This window comes from Homo sapiens, chromosome 2 (genome assembly GCF_000001405.40).
Source record: "Homo sapiens chromosome 2, GRCh38.p14 Primary Assembly".
In the NCBI taxonomy this organism is placed as follows: Eukaryota; Metazoa; Chordata; class Mammalia; order Primates; family Hominidae; genus Homo; species Homo sapiens.
The window spans coordinates 149,331,221-149,348,768 of NC_000002.12; the positions used below are offsets into that span (position 1 = coordinate 149,331,221).

A 17,548-nucleotide genomic window follows, 5' to 3' on the forward strand; every position below is an offset into this window, starting at 1 on the left:
CCCGCCGCTGCAAGACCACGCTAGGCCTTTCAGCCATCCACCCCGACAACCCAGGGAAGGGACCATCCACCCACAGAGTTGGGATTTGGCCTGGGCTTGACTTGGCGACCTGTTTTTCTCTCCGGTAACAGCAGTTCCGTTGATTCACATTTGGCTAAGCGTTCAGTTACAACCTAAAGCTCACTATCTGACGGTCTGACTCGCTCTGACCCCCACCATATCCTCACTATCTCTACCGCTGCCCTCCTCCAGTCCCCTCTCCCGCCCCAGTATCTGCCCTGCTCCTCACTGCGGGGCTCAAAACTTGGTGTTTGAGCATGATTGCCTTCGGTGTGGTCCTTGGCATTTTCAAGTGTCACAATCACATCCCGTTTCCTAGAGGACTCCAAAGACTTGTTATAATGGGATCGGGGGAGAGAATTGGGTGGGGGGGAATGGAAGAGGGTCTTTGGTAGTCACTTGTTGGAAGAACAGCATTGACCTCCCAGAGCATATGACAAAAAGAATGTTAAGCTTCTTTCTATGGTAACCTACCCAAGGTGTGACCTCCAAAATTCAATTTTCTTTGTGGGAGGCAAGGGAGTTTAGATTCTCCAGGGGGAAGCTTATTTCTTGTTAAATTGACTTGCGGTGACATACACACTGTTCTGCTCTGCTCTGGCCAGCCATTGCAGATGCCATGATATTATTAGAGCAATTCCCTTAAAGCCATTACATTTTCTTTCGAGTGAGAGGAACTCGAGCTAGCTGTTTAAAATTTTGGATCTGCACCTTATTTCTCTAGAAGACATTAATGGTTACTGTATATGCGCTCACGTGTACCAAGTTTGCAAAAGGTATTTGTGCAATCGCCCATGAAATGGGTTAATGCACATTTATGTTAAACCCATTTAAATGTAAAACATCTATCTGTTTTCAATTTTAGTTTCCACCTCGACCAAAGGCACCAGACTGAAATAAGACTTAAAAGAGGCTTCCTTGTTTAAATAGAGGTTTATAGAACTCTAGTCCTGAGAGCACACAGTAAGCTTTCTGAGCTTGTAGGCACACAAAGCTTGTTAAAAATTGTGAAATGGTTCCTTGAGTTAGAAATAATGGAAATGCTTCCAGACCAATTAAGACAGACAATTGATGAAGCTACACTCTCAAGCTGTTGACAGTCTTTGTAAGGTGAATGTTTATAGTACATAATGCATAAATCGGGCTGATTCTAGGCAAATAATATCAAGTAAAAAACCATACCATGTGTTGTATCATACTGGATAGTTTATATGGCATATTGAAATCTACTATTAAAGTGTCTGAGGAAATCATATCTTTATCATCCCCATTTCACAGATGAAACAACTGAGGCTTTCAAAGATTGACTTTTCCAAGATCAATAGCAGAGTTCAGTCAAGTGTTTTTCAAATTCTTTCCTACCTCACCCGTTCCCTTCCTTCCTTCCTTTTTGGTGTTTACCTACTTCTTTGTTGTTTACCTACTTCTGATTTCTGCACCTCTTTTTACTGTTTAACCCATAGCTTGAGGGACCATTGTGAATCATCCCCAAAAGGCTTTGCTGTCTGCTCAATATCATTTAGCTCCCACTAAGGTGAGGGCTGATAAAGAATTAAGGTGAAAACTAGGAATAGTTTTAAAGAGCTACCCTTTTCAAAGAGATACGTTATTTTTGCTAATGAGTTGTTAAAGGTACATATAATCAAACCCCTAAAGGATGATGTCCTAATTGTAATGTTTCAGAAAGACAAGTAACAGTAGGAGAGATGTGTGAGAAATATGTAAGTCTCCTATTTTATAAACACACTCCTTATAAGCTCTGTAGACGATTAACAATAGAAATAATAAATGAATATCTCATTAGTGCTATTCTTATTTTAAAAAGAATTGACAAAATAGATGACTTAAATAAAATCAGAACTACTCTGGAAACACAAAAAGCACCCACTTATCAAAAGTCCTGAAATCCTCATTGACTAGTGTACAAATGTAGCAGAAGACATTGGTTAGAGAGAAATCATATTTTTACTTGCAAAGCTAGCAATAAGAAGCGTACAGATATCTGCCTATCTGATTATTTTTTAAGGGCTCATCATCTGCAAATCTTTTCTTGGAAAATGATTGCTTACAATATTTACTTGTGTCATTGCATACTATTTATTAATGAGATTAATCTCATTTGCAATAACGTGGTTAAGTGTTGAGCTTACTACTAGTAAGTCTTGGTTAAGTATGTGGGCTTTGGATTCAAGTCTTGTCTTCACATACACTAACTGTGGGACTTCAAAAAATGATAGAACTTCTCTGTGCTTTAGTTTTCTTATGTGTAAAGCATGAATAATGCACCTACCTCATGCAGTTTTTAAAATTTATTCATGCAGCAAATATTCAGCAATTGCCTATTAGGTACCAGCTCTGCTCTAGATGCTAGGGATACATGTGCAAACTCCTTGCTAATGAAGTTTACCGTCTGGTGCCTGAAATCTAATGACACAATGCATTTAAAATGCTTGGGATGGGACCTTACACCTACCAAATGCCCCGTTATTGTTAGCTGTTGGTATCATACATTCTTTCAGGAACTGTTCAGAGTGCCTACCAGATGTAACACAGATTGCAGCATGTAATGATGAATGATATGTGTTTCAATTCAATTAAGTCTTCTAATGGAAGAGGGGACTCCAAAGAAGGACATCAAGAGTATAATCAGTCTCTAAAAGGGAATTCAATGCTGATATGTTAGGGAAGAAATGAAAAGAAATACTTAATTTACCCATAAGAAAGTGGGAAGCATACGAATTACCTTATAGAAACCCAAAAGTGATAAGAAAAACAAGTCTTGTACCCAAGCTCTGTAAAACACTAAACTCATAGTGAAAACACATAGGGAAAGTAAAGAAAAGAAAAAGAAAGCTTACCTGGATACATGTAATGAAAAAGGAAAATTTGAAGGGTCAGTTTATTAAATTGACCTTATGAAGGGCAACAGATCCCAGGCATACTAGAAATGGGATAACCAAAAGTGAATTTGTTAAAAAAAAATCCTTGCAATGGATTTCCAAAACGATAATGAAAGTCCCTTAAATACTGTGAAATAAGGATTGTGGAACTACTCATCTTTCATCATACCAAACATGTACTGGGAGATAAAAAGAGATAAAACAGCGTGTAAATGAATTCTTTGCTTCTGTTTTTGCTGAGTAATATTCCTACACCCAGGCTTTCTCAAGCAATACACACATTGGAGGTAATAGATCAAGAAGTGGCAAGTGCTGAGGATATTCCAGACCTAATCAGCAGACTAATTACAGATAAATCACCAAGACTAGATGGCCTTCACCTAAGTATATTGAAGAAGCCTGGTGTGTACGTGACAGCAATCTGGGGTATTGCTGGGGGATTGACTGGTGTCCTTGGGGGCTCCAGTCAGGGGAGGGGTTTCCAGAAGGACTGGGGGCCAAGAAACCAGACCCGTGTCCCTGTGGATGATTGGGAGATGGATATTCAAAGTAAACACAGATTACAGCAAGTAACGATTTTTTTTTTTTTTTTCTGAAGAAGGGGGATTGACGTATTAGAGTTAAAAAAGGAAAATACAGTCATGCACCTCATAACAATGTTTGGGTCAAGAATGCACTGCTTATATGATGGTGGTCCCATACGAGTATAGTGGAGCTGAAAAATTCCTATCACCTAGTGACATCTTAGCTGTGGTGATGTCGTGGCACAACACATTACTTACCTGTGGTAATGCTTGTGTAAACACACTTACTGTGTTACCAGTCTTAGAAGAGTATAGCACGTACAATTATGTACAGTACATACTACTTGAGAATGATATTAAACACCTATGTTACTGATTTATGTATTTACTGTTAATGCAATTTATCATTATCTTAGAGAGAACTCCTACTTATTTTTTTTTTTAAAGTGAACTGTAAACAGCCTCAGGCAGGTCCTTCAGGAGGTATTCCAGAAGAAAGCATTGTTATCATAGGAGATGTCAGCTCCATGCGTGTTATTGCCCCTGAAGACCTTCCAGTGGGACAAGATGTGGTGGTGGAAGACAGTGATATTGATGATCGTAATCCCGTATAGGCCCAGCCTAATGTGTGTGCTTATGTCTTAGTTTTTAACAAAAAATTTTAAAACATGTTTTCATTTAATAGAAAAAAAGCTTACAGAATAAGGATTTGAAGAAAATAAGTTTGTACCATGTGTTTGTGTTTTAAGCTAAGTGTTATTACAAAGGAATCAAAAAGTTAAAACATATAAAAGTTTGTAAAATAAAAAAATTACAGTAAACTAAGGTTAATTTATCATTGAAGAAAGAAAAAATGTTAAAGTAAATTTAGGGTAGCCTAAATGTAGTATTTATAAAACCTACAGTAGTCTACAGTAACGTCCTCAGCCTTCACTTCTACTTCCCACTCACTCACTTGCCACTCACTCACTCACCCAGAGCAACTTACAGTCCTGCAAGCTCCATTCATGGTACGTGCCCTATATAGGTGTATCTTTTTTCTTTTATACCGTATTTTTATGGTACCTTTTCTATGTTTAGATACACACATACTTACTATTGTGTTACAGTTGCCTGTAGTATTTAGTGCAGTAACATACTGCAGAGGTTTGTAGCCTAGGAACAAAAGGCTATACCATATAACTTAGGTGTGTAGTAGGCTATACATCTAGGCTTGTGTAAATATACTCTGTGATGTTCACACAGTGACAAAATCACCTAAGATGGCTCTCTCAGAACATATCTCCATTGTTCAGTGATACATGACTATATGTTTGTTGCCAAGTGTTGCAGGAAATATATTTTAATGTTTCAGAAAGCCTAACCAGGTTTCCGATTCCAGTTCCCTCCTCATTCATGACCTTTTCTTATGAATGGGAAATTGGCTAAGGAAACAAAAAACAAAAAATGGAGATCAATAGGTATATCTCTGAGTGGACAAATAGCCTCTTCCAGGAAGTAGTTTGGGGATGGTCTAATTTAACACTTTTGTAAATGCTTATGGGTGATATGCAGTTCTTACGGTAAGTAAAAACCAAGCTGCTAAAGTTGAACTATAGAAATAACTTAAAAGATCATCTAAATAGGAAGAAAAATAATAGAAGATTAAAGTCAAAATGGAAGATTGAAGATAAGTGTACTTGGAAAAAGCAATCCCAAGAACATTTATAGGAGATAGTTTTAAATTCTGTTCCCATCAGCAGATAGCATAGCTGGCTAGTAGTCTCTCAGCTCTCTAAAACACATGTGTCCACCAAGTTAAAGTCAGTGTTAGAAAAAGTGTAGGTTATAAAACTCTGTATTAATGTGATGCTATTTTAAAAATATATATGGCTGAATAAGTTTATATAAATAAACCCTCTCTATTTGTTCATCTGTGTGGAAAGAAATACATCAAAATATTAACAGTGACTCTCTCTAAGTAATATGGGATTGGAAGTGATTTTTATTATCTTCTTTTACCTGTGTTCTCCAAATTTTCTAGATTAAACACATATTCTTATAAGACAAAACATTATGAAAATAAGATTTAGTATTATAACCTCAGGTTTCATGTAGTGTTAATAGAAAGAAAGCTCATTTGATTATTATTTCTATGTCTTCTGAAAATCTGTAGTTGAAAATTTTTTTGCCTTTTTCTCCCCTCTGAATTCCCCATGTAAAAAGGGCAGCATGTTGAAATAACGTGTGTGTGTGTGTGTGTGTGTGTGTGTGTGTTTGGTGTTAGGAAAAAATGTGGTTGATGTGCTTTTTAAAATAGAACTAGGAAATGTAAAAAGATTTCGTTTTTACATTCAATGGATTTTACATTCAAATCCATAACTCAGGATTTGAAGAACAAAGTTATAGAAGCATTGCTGATTTCTTTCTAGACTGTAAGCGCTATGAGGACAGGCACCGAATCTGTTTCTTTCCTTTCTGACTGTGTAGTGCTTGCCTTGGTGTCTAGCACAGAAGACTCTCCCAGTAAATACGTTGGAATGTTTTGAATTGAATGATAGGATTAAAAACTCTGATAAGCATGTAGAAATTTGAAATAAGAGTTTCTAGGGCCCATTGTATCCTCTGAGGTCATATGATTCACTCACGTTTTAGTTTGTTTCTCTGTAAGTTATCCTGGCAGTCTTTGTATTATATGACCCCTGGGCCACAAAAGTGGTTTGTGCTGGTCATCTGGGATCCTCTGGCTTATTCTCAAGTTTTGATCCAGCTCCTGCCACTTGCATCCATCTCTCATTTCAGTTGGTTTTGTGCTTTGGGGCTGGTGTTTTGTTTCTTTCCTTGGCTCTGGATTTTGTCTCTCTTTCAGCCTTTGGCTTGGGTTCATCATCTTTTTCTCCCACTGTGGACACCAGTGTATATAATCCCAGTTAGCTCTGGCCCCCTTTAAAAAAAAAACTTATATTTTAGGTTCAGGGGTACATACACAGGTTTGTTAGATAGGTAAATTGCATGTCACAGGGATTTGGTGTACAGATTATTTCCTCACCCAGGAAATAAGCATAGTTCTCAATAGGTAATTTTTCATTCCTCACTCTCTTCCCACCCTTTACCCTCAAGTAGACCCCAGTGTTTGTTGTTCTCTTCTTTGTGTCCACGTGTTCTCAATGTTTAGCTCTCACTTATAAGAGCATGTGGTATTAGGTTTTCTGTTCTTGGATTAGTTCACTTAGGATAATGGCCTCCAGCTTCATCCATGTTGCTGCAAAGTACGTGATCTCATTTTTATGGCTGCATAGTATTCCGTGGTGTATATGTACCACATTTTTTTTAATCCAGTTTACTGTTGATGAGCATTTAGGTTGATTCCATGTATTTGCATTTAGGTTGATTCCATGTATTTGCTATTATGGATAGTGTTGCAACGAACATACACATTCATGTGTTTTTATGTAGAACAATTTGTATTCCTTTGGGTATATACCCAATAATGGGATTGCTGGGTCAAGTGGTAATTCTGTTTTAAGTTCTTTGAGAAATTGCCAAACTGCTTTCCACAGTGGCTGATCTAATTTACAATTCCACCAGCAGTGTATAAGAGTTCCCTTTTCTCTGCAACCATGTCAGCATCTTTTATTTTTTGGCTGACCCTTCTTGATAAGCTAGAATCTTTTAAAGAGTGGTTTATACCACAAACTATTAAATATTAACAATTGAATATTACTGTGGTCTGAATAGTGGCATACCTCCAAAATTATGTGTTGGAACATAATCCCCAATGTAATAGTATCAAAAGGTGGGGCCTTTTGGACAGAGCCCTCATGAGTGGGATTAGTGCCTTTATAAAAGAGGTTGAAAGGAGCTCCCTTGTTTCTTCTGCCATGTGAGGACACAGCAACAAGGTGCCATCCATGAGGCAGAGAATGAGCCCTCACCAGACACCAGATCTGCTGGTATTGTCATCTTGGACTTCTCAGCCTTCAGGACTGTGAGCAATAAAATTCTGTTATTTATAAATTACCCCGGCTAAGGCATTTTATTATAGCAGCCTGATGGACTAAGACAAATATTAACACCTGATCCCCAGAAGGGATCTAGGAGTCATTGTAGATTGTTCTCCAATATTAGCTTAATAAGGCACTGTAGTCAGATTATTCAGTAATATCCCTGGTATTGTCAGCAGGAGTCTTGGCAGAAGAACAGAAAATTTTATGTTGTTTTTACATAAAATCTGGTATATATGTTACAACATGCAACCCTTATTGTCATTTTCAAGAAAGACAGATAGGGAGGAATTGGATAAGAGCAATAACATGGTCAAGCCAGTGCCCAGGACTTTGAGTGAGGACTTAGGGGAAGTAGCTATTTTCTGACGACAGAATGTAAATAGAACTCTGGCTTGGAAGATAAAGACTCAAGGGATAGGAGCCTAGTGTATACATTATGAAGGTCACTGCCTGCTAGAGAGTCTTCTTTAACTAATCCGACTCCAAGACTAACACAGACCAACCCAAAGACTACGTATAACCAGAAGGCCATAGGGCAGGAACTCCTGCTTGCCATCAGGTGCTTCTCTTTGAGGGAGTTCTTGAAATGGTCCACGGCTCAGGTGTGAAGAGATGAGATCTATATTGGACAGGTTCTGGAGCCATCGTGGCTTAGAAGCCTCATTCCCCTAGGAGTTGATATCTCTTGTAACTCCATAGACAAAGCTTCCAAGGTCTCATAGGGATGTGCCCAGTTTCCAGAATCATGGCCCTCAGGGAAGCCCCAAGCATGGTGTCCTATCAGGTAATTTTAGTTTTCAACCAGCCTACCAATTACAGTCATAGCTGTAACTTGTTACTATGACGTTTTTACTCTTATCAGGTTGCTACAATAAAACAGCTAGACAGATACCCAAAGTCAAATTCTCATGCACAGTTACAAGTAGAGTGAATTTGCATTATTTTTCACAAAAATTAAAAACTAGAACTAGAATACATCTGTTGATATCTGAAAACAAGGGATTTTAGACAGAAAGCAATGAGGTCAGACTATGTAATACCCCTACCTCCTGTCCTGCATTCCCCCCTGCTCATCCTTATTCTCTGGACAAGAGGATGCAAAGTAAAATTAAAAATAGGTTCAAAAGTGTTTAGGTGTATGCGTGAGTAATTACCACATAATGGATTGTTAGGCAAAACGAAAGTATTGGGTGTAAAATCTTCATCTTTTGCTAGAATTTTTATTGAATTCTTTTAATTCAGATTCCTGATCACCTAACCGAATGAATTCACAACAACTTTTGCAGCAGTTATGACTTGTTCTCAGCCATAGATAAAGGAATTCGTAAACCCAGGATTGTCCTACTATTTCTGCCTTTTCTTTTGGAAATCATTATTGCTACTTGAACTACCAAAAAAAGTATATTTAAGCATTCCAGGTGATTAAATAACAATGCAGTTAGTGTGTTTTTGTAGTAGGATTTTGGGTAAACATTTTCAAAAAATATTTAATATTTTTATGACCTAAAAAAGCAGGAGAGATAAAGGTTATTTTAAGCACAATTTTTAGTGCCTTGTAGTATAACATATTAGCCCAGATGTACATGTTACTTAAATTTCTATCAAGATATCTAGAAATACTAGTTCTTTTATGCTGTTACAGAACTTTAGATAATATAATCATTTACTTGCACTTATAATAACAGCATTTATTACCCTCTACTTTTACTTACATGGTTTTTCATCCACAGGACTCTACCTGCTTGTGAGAGATTATGTTAATTTTCCATTGGCAGAGAGGCAATGTAGAGGGAAGGTTGGAGGTCTGGGCTCTCCTGTAGTGTAATTCTGCCTCCACCAGTTGCTACCTGTGTGACCTTGGGCAAGTTATTTAGTTTCCTCCAATTTTACCGGCTACACCATTAACTAGCTGGCTGACCTTTAGCCAGTAGGTCACCCACTGGGCATCATTTGCTTCAGCTGTACAAATCAAAAGGCTTTACTAAATTCCCAGATGTGTAGGAACCAACATATAGTTTTTGACATTTAAAATTACCCATTAATGCTGATCTAATAAAATTGCTTTGATTAACTGAAAGTGTGGCATAATATTGGTATATAGACTAAAATAAATAAACATTCAAGAATTCTTGTCTTCTAAGAACATGAGACCTCTAATAAATAATTTAAAAGGTGTAGCACATCCCCCCAGAATATATTTTCTTGCTATGTAGATCTTCACTGTTCTTTGACTCGCCATGTGGAATACATTTAATTTCTTAGAAAATTTTCAATCTTGGAGAAAAAAATTCACTTTCAAGTGTTCTAAAAATATTGCCATTTAAAAATACTGACTTTAATAGAAGTAATATCCTGCGTTTATATAGTGGCTTTTCATGGAAGATCAAAGGAATGGTATTAGAAGTACATGGTTTTTCTTTTATGTATAACTTCATAGGAGAATTTTCTTTTGTTGAGTTCTTTTAATTCAGATTCCCGATCTGAATTAAAAGAACTACCCGAGTGAATTCACAAAAAGTTTGCAGCAGTTGTGCCTTTTTCTCAGTCAGGTGTGTCCTTGGTCAGGGGTGTCCTTCCATCCATTATTCCACAATTTACAATGCTTCTCATCCTTCAAAGCCTAGTTCAATGCAGCCTCCCCAAAGATGCCTTTTCTCCTGATTCCCTCATCAGTGTAAATTTTGCTCTTTTACGTATACCTGTATTTTGTAGTAACATATTCTTTGTTACATTCTCTACATTCTCTTGTTACCTGTATTTTTAGTCTTATTTCTCATGGATGCCAACATGAACATAATGTTTTGCATAGAGTAAGCCCTCAGTCAATATGCTTAATAGAATAATGCCTTTCATAGAGAAAAGCTGTAAAGATCTGGGGGGAATCACAAAGGATTGCATCTTAGACTCGTTGTGCTACTATAACAAAATACCTGAGACTGGGAAATTTATATCAAACAAAAATTTATTTCTCACACATCTGAGGCTGAGAAGTCCAAGATCAAGGCACCAGCTGGTGAGGGCACAGTCTCTCTGCTTCTAAGATGGCACTTTGTTGCTGTGTCCTCACACAGGGAAAGACAGAAGAGCAAGTGAGTTAAGGCCATGTGAAGAAGTCTCTTCTATAAGGCCCTAATCCCATTTGCGAGGGAGGAGCCTTCATGCATAATCACCTCTTGAAAGTTCCATCTCTTAATACTGTCACATGACCACACCTGAATTTTGGAGGGATCACAGGGAAACCATAGCAGATTGGTTTAGATGGAAGGGATAGGTTTTGCATTATATGACAAACTGTTACCTAATTTTGGTCCCTGGATGTCCAGGAAGAACAAATGAATACCACAAGCTATACACATTCTTCTTAGAGACTCTACTCTGCTGCTGTGTCCTTATAATGAATACCTTTTAGGTATTGAGGGTATTCACAAAACAGACTCTAAGCCCTGAGTTGCCCATGACCTAGGACTTTGGAAAGTTAGGTATGATATTTTTACCCTTACCCTGGGGAAGGCACAAAACTATTAATGAAGGATATGCCCCCATGACCCAAATGCTAGGCCCCACCTTCAACACTTGGGATCACATTTCAACATGAGATTTGGATGGGATACAACACCCAAACCATATCAGTGGGTAATTTCTATTTTTAAAATATACAAAAGTTTAAGGAAGAAAATAATCATTCCCCATTTTATCACACAGATTTAATTATTCGTGTGTAATTTCTTTATTATTTTAATGATATTCTTTTTCTCTGTGTCACATGGTGGCTACCTAGTTATGGATACAGCATATGTTGAATGTATTTGATCCTTATCTTCCTAGAGTAAACCAGAGGCCAATATAGCAAATTTACTATGTATAAAGATGTACACTGTTCTTCTATGCTACTGAAAAACTCTTTCATCAGTAGTCTCCCATGTGGCCTCCTATTTGTGGGAGGGAATAATGTGCATAGTTAGGGCTGGTATTTTTTAAACAAAGAAATAGACAAGGCCAGATCTGTTTAATCTCTAACGGCCAGTGTTCTTTCTGTTCATTCCCATAGATTAGAATCACAGCCAACTGGCTTAAAATGTTGTTTTAAGGAGCACCAGGTGAGAGGTGGCCAGATCAGCATCAGCTCCCCACAGTCCTGATAAATGACTCAGGTTTGAACTCCTCCTGTTGCCAATGTTGTTATTCTTTGGTAAGGTGAACCAGGCAAGCAAAAATCAACATGGTACAAAAAAATTTTTCTCACCAAAGCTATTTGGAGGCTCAACTTTCTCAATGAAGGGCACTGCATTTCATAGATAGAATAGCATTTTAAAGACATGTACTGTCTATAATGGTACTTTCTTCTCAGTTGGGAACTATTTAGGAGAGATCTGTGCTAGAGGAGACAGTTTTCAGCTAGGACATGCAAATTCAAGAAAGGTCCAGTGCCATAGCGTCTACAAGACGTCTTGTAGAGAAGCAAGCAGACTCATTTCCTATAGCTTCTGGGCAGTTCTGGCATTGCATGTGTGTTTCAGATCTCTTCCGGAGAAGCAGTGTACTGAATAAGATCGAACATGGAAAATGGAAAGGAAGAGTGGGCAGAGAAGAAGGAGCTAAAGAACTTTTAATAAAGAAAGTATCATCTACTTTATAATAGATTAAAAAAAAACTTTTCGATCCTATCTGATTCCTGTCCTATCAGAGAAATCCCTAAAATGAACAAATTTGAGGAGAATGACAAACATCCATCTGCCTTAAATTATCTTCCAAATTTCTGCCACTCCCAGCTTCAAAGCCACTCCTTTGGCAAGTCATTGATTCAGCCTTAGAAGATCACTGTTAAAAGCCTTCCCTGAAGGGAAAATCATGCTCGTTAATGAATGAATCTAAGCTGGGTAACATACTCTTCCAGTAGGCAAGTGAAAGCTGGGGGAATATGAGTCCAAGCAAGGGGACTGAGATGGGGAAATAGAGGAGGTAACTTTTTCCTTGTAAGATGTGGGTGGAAAGGAAAGATGTTGAGATCTTTGCTTGTTTCCCACTTTCATCTAAACTCTCATCATGCTGTTTGCTGAATTATCAACCACCAATTAGTGGTAGGTTTTAGGCCAAGCCAGGTAACTTCTTTGAACTTCAGTTTCCTCAAAATGATTGCTTAAGATCAGCACTTCCAAAGGAGGACCTGTAAGGAAAAACACTGGTTCTGTGGGATATTACAGGAAAAAAAAAACAGTGGATTAAAAATGTTTTTGTTTTTTGAGTTGCAGGACTTTTAGAACATTTAGTAACTGAATGTTCACTCTATATATCTGAAAGAAGGTGTGATATATAATATTCAGTGATTCCCAGACCTATTTGACAGTGATACTCATTTTGAGGGTTCATCTTGAGGGTCAGTGTTTTCTGAACACAAAATATTGGACTATCTGGTGTCTGACGTCCTTCTATGTTTTAAATTCTGTGAATGTACAATTAGTTTGTCTCTCCTCCTATTTCTTTCCTAGCCAGCCCCCTTGCCTCTTACCTAGAACTGTTTTTGTGTTGTGTGTAAACCATTTGATCAACAATGTACTCTGTTAGAAAATCTCTGCATCTACTTTAAGAGAAGTGCATGTTGAGATAGTGCAAATCTGCAAGCTATGCACTTTTCCCTTTTATTTTTATATTTTAGACTACATTAAGTCAAAGGCAGTCAAAAAGCAAACAATAAATTCCCCAAGTGCTGTACACCCTGCCCAATATCCTAATAAAAATATTGAAACATTTATACTAATAGAGGGGATAATATTTCAGAAAAGAATAATTTACAAAAGACCCAGGTTTTATTCCGACAGAGGCGTTTCTAAGCAAAGCAGGGCAATTAATCATAGAGCTGTAACATAAAGATGAAAAGATGAATACTGAATATATAGAAAATGTGCGCTATTCTTCCCTTCATCTTTAGAATTACAAAAGATGTTTATCACCCCTTGCCTTACCAACACCAATCTTGGATTTTTTATTTGGCTTCTGCACCAGATTCACCCTTGACTTGATGAGGAGCAGGTAAAAGCTGAAGTGCTTTGTGGGAGTGGGTGCGGGAGTGGAGGAAGGTATAGACATCCAGGATGTAGGATGGCTGTGTCTGAATTAGACCTCCTCCTACAAAAATAGCTCCTCTTCCAGATGTTTTTTAAAGTGAGGGAATACAAGGTGGTCATCTGTAATCTCTTGAGTCAGAAAGAGAAAGAGGCAGGCATAGTGTCTTGTGCCTATAGTCCACCTACTTGGCAGGCTGAGGCAGGAGTATGGATTGAGTCCAGGAGTTTGGGGCTGCAGTGTGCTGTGACTGCACCTGTAAATAGTCATTGCATTCTAGCCTGAGCAACACAGTGAGACTCCATCTTTAAAAAAAATAAAAAGAGAGTAAGGATTCTCACTGAGACACCCCCCGACCCCATCTCTGAAAAAAGAATGAATAAAGAGTAAGGATTCACACTGACTATTTTTCATATACTTATTGTTGCATGTCGTGAATTCTCTGAAAGTAAAATGATCTGAATATCTACAGGTAACCTACAGGTAATCTATAGCAGACATCTTACTGTAGGCTATGTGTTTGGTTTGATTGTCTATGGTCCACCCTTAATTTAAATTTTTTTTTTTTTTTTTTGAGACGGAGCCTCGCTTTGTTGCCCAGGCTGGAGTGCAGTGGCGCGATCTCAGGTCACTGCAAGCTCTGCCTCCTGGGTTCATGCCATTCCCTGGCCTCAGCCTCCCGAGTAGCTGGGACTACAGGCACCTGCCACCACACCTGGCTATTTTTTTTTTTTTTTGTATTTTTTAGTAGAGACAGGGTTTCACCATGTTAGCCAGGACAGTTTTGATCTCCTGACATTGTGATCCACCCACCTCGGCCTCCCAAAGTGCTGGGATTACAGGTGGGAGCCAACGCACCCGGCCTTAATTTAAATTTTTAAGAATATTTGTCAAATTTTCTGGTATTTGAATTCAAGCTTACCTCTGATGAAACATTAATATTTCTATTTAGTTTTCCTTGTCTTGTTTAAAAAATTGGAATTTGTTGTGTGCATTTGATTATGTATATTTTAAAACTCCAAATTGCATTTTGAAATTTGGCAGACAACTGATAACTGTATTTTTCTCAAATATATAAAAGATATATTAACAATATTAGCTTTGCTCTGAGGTCTCGTAGGTCTGTAGCCTCCTTGAGTTGCCTTAGTGAGGCTTCCAAACTGCACCGTGCTCCAGTTTTTGAATTAAACTCTTCCATTTTTAGAGGCCACCTTTACTATTCTCCTGAACATATAAATGATGCCTTAGTTTACTAGTCTCAAGCCCTGGCAGAGAATAGATGTCAAGTAGATATTTGATGAGCAGACTCTCCCTACTTGATCAGTGTTTCTTGAATAAATGAATAAATTGTTAATGATAAGTGCTTATTATAATTGTCACCACTTTTATTCCAGTAATGTAGCCACTGCCTGGCATCTAATACTATTTTTTAAAAACAGTTAAAAAATATTTTTTTTTGTAACTCACAAACTTGATGTTAATTCGTATTTAATGTTTGTTTTTCTATTTAAAAAAATGCATAAAGTTAAAATTATTGTACATAAAAGTTTTTACACAGATTTCACAAAGCTGAACACATGTGTCTGTGCAATTGGTTCTGTACTGCAGCAGCTCAATGAACTTGGGAGAGACCTGAGTCCTCTCACGTAGGACTGAGTTGCTCTTTATGGGACTGAACATAAGTGCCATAAAACCACTTGGTAGGGTTTGTTTTGGCATGTTACAGCATTTCCCCTCGGGAATGCTCAAACATTTTATGGATGGAGGATTTCCATAAAGTCTTCTACATAACCTTCAAGTCATCTTGTGTGAAAAAGAACTTAGTTTGCATTTGTTCTGTAGATAATTGTTGATGTTTTATAGGTAACACTCTAGATGTGTAGAAAGATTGAGGCTTTCCAGGCACTTCTCAGACTTACTGACTAGTAAGTCTCTGTTATTAAAAACTAGTTTTGTTTTTTGTTTTTTGAGACGGAGTCTTGCTCTGTCACCCAGGCTGGAGTGCAGTGGCGTGATCTCGGCTCACTGCAACCTCCGCCTCCCGGGTTCTAGCGGTTCTCCTGCCTCAGCCTCCCAAGTAGCTGGGACTACAGGCAAGTGCCACCACGCCCAGCTAATTTTTGTATTTTTAGTAGAGACGGGGTTTCACCATGTTGGCCAGGATGGTCTTGATCTCTTCACCTTATGATCCGCCCGCCTTGGCCTCCCAAAGTTCTGGAATTACAGGCGTGAGCCACTGCGCCCTGCCTAAAAACTAGTTGTTTTTCTCACAATTCTGGAAGCTTGGCAGTCAGAGGTCAAGGTGCTGGCAGGTCTGGTGTCTGGTGACTTGCAGATGGTGGCCTTCTTACTGTATTCTTACATGGGGTGGGGTTGGAGGGGAAGGTGAGAGAAGAGAGGGCGAGAGAGAGAAGAAGAAGAGAAAGAGGAGGAGGAGGTGGAGGAAGAAGAGAGAAGAGAGAGAAGCAAGTTCTTCTATGTCTCATTAAGAGCACTAATGCTATTCAAGAGAGCCCCACCATCATGATCTCCCAAAGGTCCCATCTCCAAATACTGTCGCATCACATTGGGGTTTAGGGTTTCAGTGTATGAATTTTGGGGGACACAAACATTCATTTTATGGTACGTATCATTCTTTTTTAGGTTGGGCAGGGAACAGGCTCCTCATCTCTCTCTGGCGTTCCCCCTATTTTCCCCAATTCCCTAACAATTTGACCAAAGCCATGGCCAACATCATCACTTGACAAAATGGAATTGATTTGTTAAAGCGCTTGTTTATTTTAAGAATCAACCTAAAGGAAAAAGAATTCAAGTTACTTATTTTGGGGTCTGGATTGAAATTTTATTTGCTGTAATTTTATCCCCAAAATGACAGATTCCTTTTTCATATTTTTTGAGTGGGTATTTGTGTCATTTTTTTGGCAGCACTTAAGAAACTATCTCTTATTGGTGATTTTGAGAATTGTTCATACTTGAACAGAGATTATGAGCTTAAGTTTAAATAGCTTTGAAATCTTTAAAAAATAGTTACATCTTTTAATTGCATGAACACTGTCTATATTTAACATGTCCAACTATTTAAATGACCTAATATTTTATATTTGCCAATGCAAGCATAGCAACTGTCAGGCAACAAGTACTTTTTTTCTGGGCCCTACCCAGGGATATTAAAAAATAGAGTGGAGCTGGGCGTGGTGGCTCAAGCCTGTAATCCCAGCATTTTGGGAGGCCGAGGCAGGTGGATCACCTGAGGTCAGGAGTTCAAGACCAGTCTGGCCAACATTGCGAAACCCTGACTCTACTAAAAATACAAAAAAAAAAAAAAAAAAAAAAAAGAGTGGAAGACACAGCAACTGTTCTCATGGAACTTGGCTTCTCTCCCTGTCTCTCTCTTTAAATACCCAAGGGCCAACTTGTGCCAATCATAGTTCTGGGTGGAAATACAATAATAAATGAAATGGATAAAAGTCTCTAGGGATAAAGCAGTGAACAAAAACCACAAAAAATTCCTGTCCTGGTAGAGCTTACATTCTACAGGAATAGAGGCAGAAAATAAGGAAATAAATAAGAAATGTGCAGTATGTTAGGCGGTGGTAAGTGCTATGGAGAAACTAAAGCGAGGAAGGGGAGAGGAAGTACAGGGGTGGGTGGGAGGCAGCTGGTACCTTTAACTGTGGTTGTCATGGATGACTCCACTGTGAAGGTATCACATGAGCACCTGGACCAGCTAAGGGAGAGAGCCCTGAGGACCTCTGTGGGAAGAGCCCTCCAGGCAGAAATGCAAAAGTGCTGTGATGGCCTCATGCCTGGCTTGCCCTCCAAGAAGGCAGGTAGAGCAAGCCAGGGGGAGTGTAGTAAAAAGTCAAAGATGTACAGGGCAGGCTGTCCAACATGCAAAGCCTTAGAGGTTATCACACTATGTTGATTCTTCCCCCACTCTCTTCCTTCCTTCTTTGTGAGTTGGGGAGCCATTAGAAAATTCTGCACTGAGGAATGACCTGATTAAATGATTTTAAAG

General features: G+C 38.4%; 1 protein-coding gene across 3 annotated transcripts in view; it reads left to right on the forward strand.

The window, feature by feature from the left end:
* The window catches only part of LYPD6 (LY6/PLAUR domain containing 6), a 156,394-nt gene that overhangs the window by 1,236 nt on the left and 137,610 nt on the right, over positions 1-17,548 (forward strand). The window contains exon 1 of one of the 3 annotated variants that reach the window (XM_024452699.2): positions 1-17,548. This exon is cut by the window's right edge and continues 19,088 nt beyond it. The exons of the other annotated variants lie outside the window; for them this stretch is intronic. The gene's annotated coding sequence lies outside the window, so the exon portion shown is untranslated. 3 annotated transcript variants of the gene reach the window in all.